Source organism: Homo sapiens, chromosome 18 (assembly GCF_000001405.40).
Source record: "Homo sapiens chromosome 18, GRCh38.p14 Primary Assembly".
Taxonomy (NCBI): Eukaryota; Metazoa; Chordata; class Mammalia; order Primates; family Hominidae; genus Homo; species Homo sapiens.
Genome location: NC_000018.10, coordinates 50,220,588 through 50,233,760, shown reverse-complemented (window position 1 = coordinate 50,233,760; position 13,173 = coordinate 50,220,588). Strand labels below are relative to the sequence as shown.

At 42.0% G+C, this 13,173-nt stretch overlaps 1 protein-coding gene across 1 annotated transcript in view; it reads left to right on the top strand.

Moving 5' to 3' along the window:
• The window catches only part of CFAP53 (cilia and flagella associated protein 53), a 39,303-nt gene extending 32,735 nt beyond the window's left edge, over window positions 1-6,568 (top strand). Inside the window, exon 8 of the mRNA NM_145020.5 lies at window positions 6,152-6,568. Within this exon, the coding sequence (NP_659457.2) occupies window positions 6,152-6,380 (229 nt within the window). The 3' untranslated portion in view covers window positions 6,381-6,568. The remainder of the gene's footprint in view (window positions 1-6,151) is intronic.

Genomic DNA, 13,173 nt, shown 5'->3' with positions numbered 1-13,173 from the left:
GCATATCCAGAAGTTAGTGCTGTGTGTTATGTTAGCAACCTGAAATATTACTGGGAGGAGTAAGTGCCTGGCTCCAGCCATGGAGGCAATAGCCGTGATAGAATAAAAACAAAGCCATTTTTAAGGAAAATGACAATATGTAGTAAACTCAGGGAGACAGGCGAGAAGAAGGGCTGTAAAGAATATGAGAAAAACAGTTAACCAAACACCTAGTACCTTAGCACACTGATGTGGTGTGGGGGTAAATGACATTACTAGGACAAATATACAAAAAAATTCATCTGGGTGGTAATCTTGGAAGTCCGCTTGCAAATAGCAGTCGTAAACTACCTCCCTTATAAAAGCATCAATATTAAGAGGGTGACGCTGCTTAAGTGAGGCAGTTGGATAATTACTGAAAGCCTGTAGTAGAATTGGATAAAAAGAGTCAGCCTTAAGAGTAAGGTCTAAAGGAGGTGTTGGATTTATTTATTTATTTTTTATTTTTAAGGGAGGTTTAAAAATTCTGGGTTGTTTGAACAAAACCTCTTTTACCTTTTTTTCTTTAACTTTAAATGAGTTTTCGATGTTTGCATTCTAATTAGACCACAAAGAATGAGTTTTATCTCAGCACCAGGACCTTAGTAACAGCAGATTTAAAGCAGGCAGAAAAAAAGGAAGATAGAGAGCTATAGAAGACTTCACTTAACTTTATAGTGCAGGTTAACCATTTGAGCTCTGACTTTTTCTTGTTGTAGTTTGCCCGTTAGTTTAAAATGTACCATAATATGTAACCAGCTGGAGTTTTAAAGAGAATGACAAAATCAGGGGTTAGGATGTTAGAAACTGTCTTTCCCTTTTAAGGCTGGACCCCTGGATTGAACAGAAAAAGAGAAAAAGAAAAGGAAGGAATGGAGAGGAAAAGGTCAGGCTTTACAGGAGGGCTTGTGAGCCTTCCAGCCACTGCACAGTGCAAGGTCAGTACCCCTGCCACTTTTGTTTATCTCCCGCCAGGGAGAGCATTAGCACCCCAGACCTACAAGGTGTGGGATAAATTCTTCCCAACTTTGCAAGTTATCAGTTAAGGTGAGCTGTTTCCAGACAGAGCAGAGAGCCTATTTAGCATAAGGCCATTAGGGGTTGAGATTCTGTCCTGGGGGCCCTTTGATCATCAGGGCAGTCTTTTTTCCAGTGGCTGAGCTTGTGGCAGAGAGAGTAAGCCAGGCAGGGCTTTTAAAATTTATTCCACTGGGGCACTCTGCCTTTCAGTAACCTGGCGTTTTGCACTGATGGCAGTTATCTGAAGGAATGTATTTTTAGGGAAACCTGGAGGGGCTGGGGCTTGTAAAGCAGCCAACAGTTGAGCCTGTCTCTTGCCTCTGCATTTTTCTTTCTTCTTAGCCCTGTCCTCCTTATTCTGCTGTCAGTTGTAAAGGACTCAGGAGGCTAATTTGATGGTTTTCTACATAGGGGCCATGCTGTGTTACACAATAAATTAGACATTTCTTTTTGAGGGTTTGAGAGTTAAATTTGTCTTAATGTTTTAGGATACAACCCAGAAGTGAGTCTGAAGGAATAGATGGGGTTTGTCCCATGGTGGGACTAGAAAACATGCTGCTTGGGGATGGTGCAACTCAGGGGCACAAACTGCACTTTCTCTCAGGATGTCCAGCCGAGATGAAAAGCAGTTCCACTTAGGTCTACTGAGGAACTTGGGGTGCACTTTCTAAAGGGGTGTCCCACCTATTAAGAAAGTCCCCTCGGCCACTCAGGGGCCTTATGCTGGATGGCCAGTCCAGGTACAAGGAAAATGGGTGAAGGGAGGACTCTGCCTGTGTTGGCCCAGGAGAGGGGGTGGGTAAGGGAAAACTCATGGTTCTGAGGCTGTCTGAGATCACCTGATTTAGCAACATCTGGGACAGAATGGCTGGCTGACTCCACAGGAGGATTCAGAGTGAGAAAGAGTGTCTGAGTCACCCAAAATGTGTGAATTTGCTCTGAATGAGCTTCTGCTGCCAGTCGCATCACACGTAGGGATTAGGGACTTCTGACCAGAGAGTATAGGAGGAAGCCTTCCTCTCTTCCAGGCCAGGTGGCTATTTGGCCTTCAGGCAACACCGGATAGTAGCCACAGCTGGTTACTGTCAGTTGCCAAAGAGATACTAAAAGCCAGCTGCTGAAAGGCTGAAAAGAGAAAGTAAACTCAGGTCCCTCACCTGAACAGGTGGTAGTTAGATGCTTCCACACGGATACCTTTCAGTCCCACAGGAGTGTAGGTAGCTCCAGCTAGAGACCTACAATTGTCTCTCTGGGTAGATACTGTCCACTGAGGTTCCTAAGTTGGGAAAGGGAAAGAGAGAGGCCAGAGGCTTCCTCATAAGGAGAGAGTTTCCCATACAGGCTACCAAAATGTGGGTGAGCAGTGACTATCTGGGTCAGTGGTGCAGGGGTAAAAGAATTTACCAAGACAGTTGTAGGTAAAGAAAGGCAGATTTATTAGAGAAAGTAGGAAAACTCAGTGCAAGAAAGCAATGGGCAGCCAGCAAGAGAGGAGCTGACTGCCAGGAAACAAAGGCTTGCCAGAGATTTTATAGGATGGTTCTTGGGCTACTTGATAACACCAAGGTAGCAGGGAGCTAACTTGCATTCTTCTGTCAGCCGAGGTGTTTGATGATAAATCGAAGCATTTGATGTTAAGCAGAAGTTTGTGAGTTTTGTATGTTATCTGCACAGGAGGGCTGTATGTCCTGGGCCATGAACAAAGGCAGACCTATAGCTTACTGCTTTATCTCTTTGCTTTATCCTGGTTCCGCCAGCCTGATTCCTTTTCCCTAAATAGGATACACATATGGGGAGGGAGACAGTACTGTGGCCATCTTTGGAAAATAGAATCTGCCATAGAGGGGTATCCACATTATCTTTATTTCTGATAAAATTCTATTATCTTTATTTCTGATAAAAGTTGATGGAGTGTTTTCTGACCCCAACAACAAATTCTCTGATTCTCCAGACCCCAACTGGGTGTCCAAGAATTCAATTCAGTTCTGATAGTAACTACCCAGAGTTAGTATAGACCCCTCAGGGTAAGGGCTTAGTCCCACAGAACTGCTGCCACTTCAGACACCAGATGCTAGTCCCAGACCACCTTCTGATCAACCAGCTATAAATTGGGGGTTCCCACGACCTCCTCCTCAGGTTCAACAGTTTGCTAGAATTGCTCAGAGAAATCAGGAACACATTTGACTTGTGTTTACCAGTTTATCACAATGGACACAACTCAGGAACAGCCAACTGGAAGAGATGCATAGGGGCTTCCGTGCTCTCTGCGGGTGCACCATCCTTTCAGCACCTCCCTGTGTCACCATCACAGATGCCCTCAGAACATCCTTGTTCAAGAGTTTTTAGAGCTTCATCTCCAGCCCCCACCTTCCCCTCCCAAGAGGTCAGTGGGTGGGGCTGAAAGTCCTAACCCCCTCATCACTTGGTCTTTCTAGTGACCAACCCCATCCTGAGGCCACCCAGGGGCCCTACCCTAAGTCAGCTTATTAGCATAAAATTGGGTGTTCCTATGAATTACAAAAGATACTTTTATCACTCAGGAAATTACAAGAGTTGTAGGAGCTCTGTGCCAAGAACTAGGAACAAAGATCAAATATAATTCTTATTATACCACAGCTGATATTAAAAATGTGGCTTATATTTCTAGCCATTGAAACTACAAAGAGGCCAGGCATGGTGGGTCATGCCTGTAATCCCACCACTTTGGGAGGCCAAGGTGAGTGGATCTCTTGAACCCAGGAGTTTGAGACCGGCCTGTGCAACATGGTGTAACTCTGTCTCTAAAAAAATACAACAACAACAAAAAAATTAGCTGGGTGTGGTTGTGTGCACCTATAGTCCCAAATACCTGGGATGCTGAGGTGGGAGGATCACCTGAACCTGGGAGGTTGAAGCTGCAGTGAGCCATGATTGTGTGATTGTGCCAGTAGTGTACTCCAGCCTGGGTGACAAGAGTGAGACCCTGTCTGAAAAAAAAAAAAAGAAAAAGAAAAAAAGAAAGAGACTACAAAGAAAAAAATGTGGCTTATAAATTGTAAAATTATATAACCATTATGGAAAACAGTATGGAGTTTCCTCCAAAAAATAAATATTAAAACTACTACATAATCTGGCAACCCACTTCTGGGTATATGTCCAAAAAATTAAAAGCAGGGTCTTGAAGAGATATTTGCACAGAAATATTCATAGCACTATTCACAGTATTCAAGAGGTAGAAGCAACCCAAGGGTCTATTAATGAAATGAATAGATAAACAAAACATGGTATATATTTATGATGGAATATTTTTCAGCCTTAAAAAGCAAGGAAATCCTGTCACATGCCACAGTATGGATGAACCTGGAGGACATTATGCTAAGTGAAATAAGCCAATCACAAAAAGACAAATACTGTATGATTCTACTTTTATGAGACATATAAAGTAGTCAGATTTATAGAAACATAAAGTAGAATGGTGGTTACCAGGGGTTGTGGGGAGAAAAGAGGGGAGGGAGTTTCAGATTTGCAAGATGAAGAAGTCCTGGAGATCTCTTTTACAGCAATATGGAGACTTAACTACTGAACTGTACACTTAAAAATGGTTAAGATGTAAATTTGTTATGTGGGTTTTGTTTGTTTGTTTTTGTTTTTGTTTTTTGACAAGGTCTTGCTCTGTTGCCCAGGCTGGGGTGCAGTAGTGTGATCATGGCTCACTGAAACCTCAACCTTCTGGGCTCAGAAAATCCACCCACTTCAGCTGGGACCACAGGCACATGCCACCATGCCTGGCTAGTTTTTTATTTTTTTGTACAGATCAGGTCTCCCTATGTTGCCCAGGCTGGTCTCAAACTCCTGTGATCCTCCTGTCTTGGGCTCCTAAGGTGCTGGGATTATTAGGTGTATGACCTATGTAAATTTTTTTGTTTTGTTTTTTGTTTGTTTGTTTGTTTTTGAGATGGAGTTTGACTCTTGTTACCCAGGCTGGAGTGCAATGGCGCAGTCTTGGCTCACTGCAACCTCCGCCTCCTGGGTTCAAGTGATTCTCCTGCCTCAGCCTCCTGAGTAGCTGGGATTACAGGCATGTACCACCATGCCCAGCTAAATTTTGTATTTTTAGTAGAGACGGAGTTTCTCCATGTTGGTCAGGCTGGTCTCGAACTCCTGACCTCAGGTGATCCACCCAACCTCAGCCTCCCAAGTGCTGGGATTACATGCATGAGCCACCATGCCCATCATAATGTGTTTTTTATTACAATAAAAATTATACTATAAATAAAAAAACTGTCATATATTTAAAATGTGGCTTATTTATGCAAGAAATTATCTAGTTAATACTGAACAGAATGATAAGATAAGGCTAACTTACCCACCCAGTCCCCAGCAGCATGAGATCACTGCAGGCCTCTTGTGCGGGGATGTGGCCCTTTGATCTACAGCAGAGCAGAAAACAGGCGGAGCAGCCTCCGAGATGAAAGGGGAAAAGCTGGCCAGGTGTGGTGGCTCACGCCTGTAATCCCAGCACTTTGGGAGGCTGAGGCGGGCAGATCACTTGAGGTCAGGAGTTTGAGACCAGCCTGGCCAAAATGATGAAACCTCATCTCTACTAAAAATACAAAAATTAGCCAGGTGTGGTGGCGGACGCCTGCAATCCCAGCTGCTTGGGTGGCTGAGGCAGAGAATTGCTTGAACCCAGGAGGCGAAGGTTGCAGTGAGCTGAGATCACGCAACTGCACTCCAGCCTGGGTGACAGAGCGAGACTCCGTCTCAAAAAAAAAAAAAAAAAAAAAAGGAGAAAAGTTGAATTGAGCAGTTTGCTTATCCTCTCCAATTTTACCCATAGAGAAGAGTAAGGGAAGGGATGGAGGCAAACCAAGGACCATTACCACATAGCAGTGAACATTACGAGCAGGGAAGAAGCATTTCCTCTCTAAAATCAATATTTGTCCTAGGATTATATTAATGATTATTATGTAAGAAACCCATTATTGAGTTTTTCATCTATTTCTTCTCCACTCACCCTGATTTTAATGGGAATTTAATTTGACTTTACAAATTATATTTTAATTGTAATGCTCTGAATAAATCTAAATGCTTACTTTTATAATTTTATGCTTTGACATTTCTAATACTTTAGACGCCAACGTTTAGCCCAGGAGTACAGGAAGCAACTTCAGATGCAAATCGCCTACCAGCAGCAGTCCCAAGAAGCAGAGAAGGAAGAGAAACGCCGAGAGTTTGAAGCAGGTGTAGCAGCAAACAAGATGTGTTTGGACAAGGTCCAGGAGGTCCTGTCCACCCATCAAGTGCTGCCTCAAAACATTCATCCCATGCGCAAGGCATGCCCCAGTAAGCTTCCACCGTAGTTCCGTGAGCATCAATATATCTTTTCTTGGTCTTTTAATATTTTTAACTACAGTATGCTTGTATGCTTCTTTTAACTCCTGGATAAACTTTTCTTTTTTCCCTGAGTTTGTGTAATTAATTGAACATAATTTTCTTCCTTTGAATAAACCTGTGCCTATTTTGGAGTTCACAGACTTACAAATCCAAATGATCTACTTAATCTCATGTTATTTTCCTGCCCCCTTTGCCTCCTTTTTTAACTCACTTATGACTAGCTCCATTTGCTGACAACTATCTACCCGTATGCCCGTTTCTTCTTCCTTCCTTTCTCTTCTCTCTCATATACATAATTCAGTGTGAAGAGAGCGCTTTTGTAGGCAGAACTGGAATTAACAGCCACTTTCATTAACCCACCTATTTAGTCATTAAAGAAATGTTTTCAGTGTCTCCCATGGGTCAGGCACTATTCTAGATCCTAAGACTTCAGCAAAAACAAAACATACCCCTTGCTCTTGTTGAGCTTATATACTAGTGGAGGAAACAGGAAATAAGCGTTAAGTGCCATAAACTGGAAATGGCAGGTGTGCTGTTTCATTTTATATGTGATGGTCAGAAAAGGCCTCTCTGAGCAGCTGATACTTGAAGAGAGGTCTGAATGAACTAGCCATGGATTATCTTCAGGGTAATTATCTAAGGCAGAGGAAAAAGCCAGCGCAAGGTCCCTTGGGCAGAAGCCTGCTGAGTGCATTTGAGGCATAATATTTGTGCTGGAGTAGAGTGAGTGAAAAGAGATTAATCAGAAAGGTAGTTGGGGCCAGATGATGTAAGGCCTTGGAACCACGGTAAAGGCTGGCTTTTCCTTCACTAAAGGAAGCTATTACAGGGTTTTCAAGAGAGGAGCAACACAATATGATATAAGAGGGTTGCTGGCTGCTATGTCTAGGATAGACATCAGGGAGACAGAAACAAGCATGTTGAGTGATTACAGCCAGGCATGGTGGCTCACACCTGTAATCCCACCAGTCTGGGAGGCCAAGGCAGGTGGATCACTTGAGGTCAGGAGATCGAGACCAGCCTGGCCAACATGATGAAACCCTGCCTTTACTAAAAATACAAAAATTAGCCAGGCGTGGTGGTGTGCGCCTATAATCCCAGCTACTTGGGAGGCTGAGGCAAGAAAATCGCTTGAGTCCAGGAGACGGAGGTTGCAGTGAGCCGAGATTGTGCCACTGCACTGCAGCATGGGTGACAGAGTGAGACTCTGTCTCAAAAAAGAAAAAAAGAATGTTAAGTGATTGCAATAATCCAGGTAAGAGGTGGTGGTAGTGTGGTAGCCAGCCTCCAAGATGACTCCCCATGATTTTCTTCTGTATTTATGTCCAACCTCCCTGAATCATGGCTGATCTGTGGGACCAACAGAACAGGGTATAACTTCCAAGACTAGGTCATAAAAGACACTGCAGCTCAGTCAGTCACTTATGCTGGTAAGGATAGGATGCTCAAGAAGGCCTTCAAAGAGGCCCATATGGGGAGACATTGAAGCCTCCCACCAAAAGGCAGCACAGCATGCCAGCCATGTGCACGAGCAACCTCGGAAGATACTCCAGCACCAGTTAGGCATTCAGATGACTACAGCCCTGGCTGACAACTTGACTGCAATTTCATTAGAGATTCTGAGCCAGACTGCTCAGCCAAGGTGTTCCTGATTTCCAACCCACAGAAACTGACAACAGACGTTTATTGTGGTTTAAGCAACTAAGTTTTGGGGTATACCATTAGGCAGCAATAGAAAACTAATACAGGGTTGTATCTTGGGCACTGTGAGAGAGGTCAGATTCTATTTTAAAGGTAGAGCCAACTAGATGTGCTGATGGATGTACATGTTGAGTGTAGGGTTTGAAAGAAAGTCATAAAATAGAACTCCAAACTTTTGGTTTGAGCAACAAACCAGTAAACTGCCTCTGTGGTGGGAAACACTTGACATCTCTCTCAAGCTGTGAACCTGGAGATGTTAGCCAAATGAAGTCAAAGAAATTAACAAGTTACTGGGTAATTCTCGTCAGTATTCTATTTGGCATTCTACCTCTGCACTGCACTGTGTTTTTCATATATCAAAATATGTCTTGTGTTATACCACTTTTTGTGAAAAACAAATCAGGAAAGGTCTGAAATTTACATATTTTCCTGGAGTCATTAGACACAATGAAATATTTTAAAACTCTAGGAAACCCTAAAGTAATGAAACCTAGTTACCTTTGTTTATTCCTCTGTTACTCATACTTACTTGATCTTGAAACTCTTTTTTAAAAAATCAAACCTATTAACTCCTTTTGGTAAACGCTCATCTTTCTTCTGCATATTCACATGATTCATTACATCATCTCCATGGGATATTCAGAGAAGCTTTCTGCAGGATATTACTTTCTAAATAAAACAGTGCTTTATTTCTAGTAGCTCGGCCAATGTTTTATGTAAAAATTCTAGAGAAATTTATTCTTTTAGACAGTATTTTAAAAGCTATATTGAGGTATAATTTCCATACCATGAAGTCTGCCCATTGTGAGTGATTTATAAAGTGATTCTTGGTAAATTTAGAGCTTTGCAATCATCAGCACAATCTAGTTTTAGAATGCTTCCATCACCCCGAAAACTTTTCTTGTGCATGTTTGCACAAAACCCGACTTCTTTACCCAGTGCCAAACAAACACTGACCAACTTGTGTCTCCATAGTTGTCTTTTCTTCAAATTTCATATTAACGGAATCATTCAATATGTACTCTTTCATGTTTGCCTTTCACTTAACATGTTTTCGAGGTTCATCATGATACTGGATGCATCTGTAGTTTATTCCTTTTGATTTCTGTAGTATTCTATTGTATGGATATACCACAGTTTACACATCCATTCACTAGTTCAGGGACATTTGCATTATTTCTAAGTTTTGGCTGCTATGAACATTCACATGCAAATCTTTGTGTGAACATACACTTTCATTTCTCTTGGTTAGATACGTAGACATGGAATTGCTAGGTCTTATGGTGTTTTTCACTTAAGTTGCCAGGCTGTTTCAAGTGACTGCATCATATTACATTCCCACTGCAATATATGAAGGTTCCAGTTTCTCCACATCCTTGTCAGCACTTGTAATGGCAATTCTAGTGACTGTGGAAAGTATCTCATTGTGGTTTTAATTTGCATTTTCCTAATGACTAATGATGTTGAGCATTTTTTTCATGAGCTCCTTAGCCCATCATATGTCTTATTTTGTGAAGTATTTATTCAGATCTTTTCCCCTATTTTCTAATTGGGTTGTCTTCTTATTACTGAGTTGGAGGAGTTGTTTATATAGTCTGGAAACAAGTCTCAGCTACTTGGGAGGCTAAGATGGGAGGATCACTTGAGCCCAGGAGGATAAGGCTGTAGTGAGATCTGATGGTGCCATTGCACTCCGGTTTGGGTGACAGAGCAAGACCCTGCCTCTGAAAAAAATTTTTTTTGGTCTTTGTCTTTGACTTTGCAAGAAACAGAAGCCCAAAGAAATCTCCTGTGTCTTGGTCTGGTACTTTTTGTTACGGGAAGTCAGGGACCCCGAACAGAGGTACTGGCTGGAGCAGCAGCAGAGGAACATAAATTGTGAAGATTTCATCTTAATATGGACATTTATCAGTTCTCAAATAATACTTTTATAATTTCTTATGCCTGTCTTTACTTTAATCTTTTAATCCTGTTATCTTCGTAAGCTGAGAATGTACATCACCTCAGGACCACTGTGATAATTGTGTTAACTGTACAAATTGATTGTAAAACGTGTGTTTGAACAATATGAAATCAGTGCACCTTGAAAAAGAACAGAATAATAGTGATTTTTATGGAACAAGGGAAGACAACCATAAGGTCTGACTGCCTGCAGGGTCAGGCAAAAAGAGCTATATTTTTCTTCTTGCAGAGAGCCTATAAAATGGACATGCAAGTAGGAAACATATTGCTAAATTCTTTTCCTAGCAAGGAATATTAATATTAATACTCTGGGAAAAGAATGCATTCCTGGGGGAAGGCCTATAAATGGCCACTCTGGGAATATCTGTCTTGTGCAGTTGTGATAAGGACTGAGATAAGCCCTGGTCTTCTGCAGAACCCTCAGGCTTACTAGGGTTGGGGAAACTCAGCCCTGGTAAATTATTATTCTTATTGGGCTTATGTGCCTTTTCCTCCACTTATTCGACCTCTCACCTAGATGGATGCTCCTGCAGAGATCTATACTAATGATAGTGTGTGGATGCCTGGAGCTACAGATGACCATTGCCCTGCTCAACCAGGAGAAGAAGGCACTGCAATTAATGTTACTATGGGTTATAAATACCTTCTTCTGTGCCTCGGACATGCACCTGGTTGTATCCATCTAGAAACTCAAGTCTGGGCTGCTTACCTTCTGAAGAGATCAGCCACAGGGGAATGGAGACATTTGGTCTCTGGCCTCTCCCTTTCTCCTTTAAGACAAATGAAAGGGGGAGTAATAGGAGATACCCCATACTTTCGATATAAACCTGTGGGAAAACCATGTCCTAAAAATTTTGAGGGCCTTATCTAAAAGTTTAATTTGGGAAGATTGTGTTAACTCACATGCAGTAGGATTAAAAAATGACTCATATGGTTTAATAATAGACTGGGCACCAAAGGACTATTTAAAAAGCAATTGCTCCTCTGGCAGAAGGGAATGCCTGGAGGCTACTTATTTTATTTCTTATTGGGAGGACGAGGATCACCATCCTACTTTGCATAGGAGGTTCAGCTTGTTCTTTCCCTTAAAATGGGAAGAGAAGGGCATTACCCTACCCCTGCCAAGGCCTCGTATGATATTCCCCATTCTGAGCCCAGAACACCCAGAACTTTGGAAATTGGCTATTGCCATGTCTGGACTATGATTATGAGAAGGGGAAACTTTCCTGTCTGTTGTCCCCACTACTGCCCCTCGCATCCGTGATTCTGAACCCCATGATAAATCCCCTTTGAACCCTCTTCCTCTTTTTGATGCCCATCCTCCTTTATGGGACTCCGATTGGCATTATGATAATAATTCTCGACCCAGGTATGCCCCTCTACCTCTTCAGCATCCTGGGCACCTTGGATTGCTTCTTTATGGTGGAGAACATCCAGTGTTGCCACTGCTGCTCGTCTCCCTCTGTATCAACATAGATTCAGACATTCTGCTTTGTTTACCTCCAGCCTGACTATTCCTATACAGAGTTGTGTTAAGCCTCCTTACATGCTGTTAGTGGGAAATATCAAAATTTTGATGAAAAATCAAACTGTCCAATGCATTAATTGTCATTTATACACTTGTGTTAACTCCTATTTTGACTTCAGGAAAAGTGTAATGTTGGTTCGAGCTTGAGAAGGAATCTGGATACTGGTAACTTTACCCAGACCTTGGGAATCTTCCCCCTCAGTACATTTAATTAATGAAGGGTTACAACAAATTCTCAAAAGATCTAAGAGATTTGTTTTCACTTTAATCACTGTGATCATGAGCCTAATTACAGTCACTGCACTGGCCACCACTGCCAGAGTGGCATTACACCAATCTATTCAAATGGCTCATTTTGTTAATGATTGGCAAGCCAGTTCCACCCAAATGTGGAATTCTCACAGGGCATTGATCAAAAATTAGCTAATCAAATTAATGATTTAAGACAGTCTGTTATTTGGCTTGGAGATCGGCTAATGAGTCTCGAACGTCGCATGCAAATGCAGTGTGATTGGAATACTTCTGATTTCTGTATCACACCATATTCCTACAATGAGACTGATCGACTGATCGACTGATCATTCATGGGAAATGGTCAAAGGGCACCTGCTGGGTAGGGAAGATAATTTATCCTTGGACATAACTAAATTAAAGAAACAAATATTTGAAGGCTCTCAAGCTCATTTATCCATTGTGCCTGGAGCTGAGGCGTTAGAGCAGGTGGCACAAAGTCTTTCTGGACTAAACCCCACGACTTGGATTAAGTCTATTGGGGGCCCACTGTAGTAAATTTTGGAATCATGTTTCTCTGTTTAATCGGCTTGTTTTTAGTATTCTGGACCAGTCAAAGAATCTTGTGTCAAAACCGAGAGAACGAACAAGGCTTCATTGCCATGGCACATTTATATAAAAAGAAAGGGAGAGATGTTACGGGAAGCCAGGGACCCCAAACGGAGGGACCGTCTGGAGCTGTGGCAGAGGAACATAAATTGTGAAGATTTCATCTTAATAGGGACATTTATCGGTTCTCAAATAATACTTTCATAATTTCTTATGCCTGTCTTTAATCTCTTAATCCTGTTATCTTCGTAAGCTGAGGATGCACGTCACCTCAGGACCACTGTGATAATTGTGTTAACTGTACAAATTGATTGTAAAACATGCGTGTTTGAACAATATGAAATCAGTGCACCTTGAAAAAGAACAGAATAATAGAGATTTTTATGGAACAAGGGAAGACAACCATAAGGTCTGACTGCCTGCGGGGTCAGGCAAAAAGAGTCATATTTTTCTTCTTGCAGAGAGCCTATAAATGGACATGCAAGTGGGAAACATAGCTAAATTATTTTCCTAGCAAGAATATTAATATTAATACCCTGGGAAAAGAATGCATTCGTGGGGGGAGGTCTATAAATGGCCGCTCTAGGAATGTTTGTCTTATGCAGTTGCGATAAGGACTGAGATAAGCCCTGGTCTTCTGCAGAACCCTCAGGCTTACTAGGGTTGGGAAAACTCAATCCTGGTAAATTTGTGGTCAGACCGGTTCTCTGCTCTCAAACCCTGTTTTC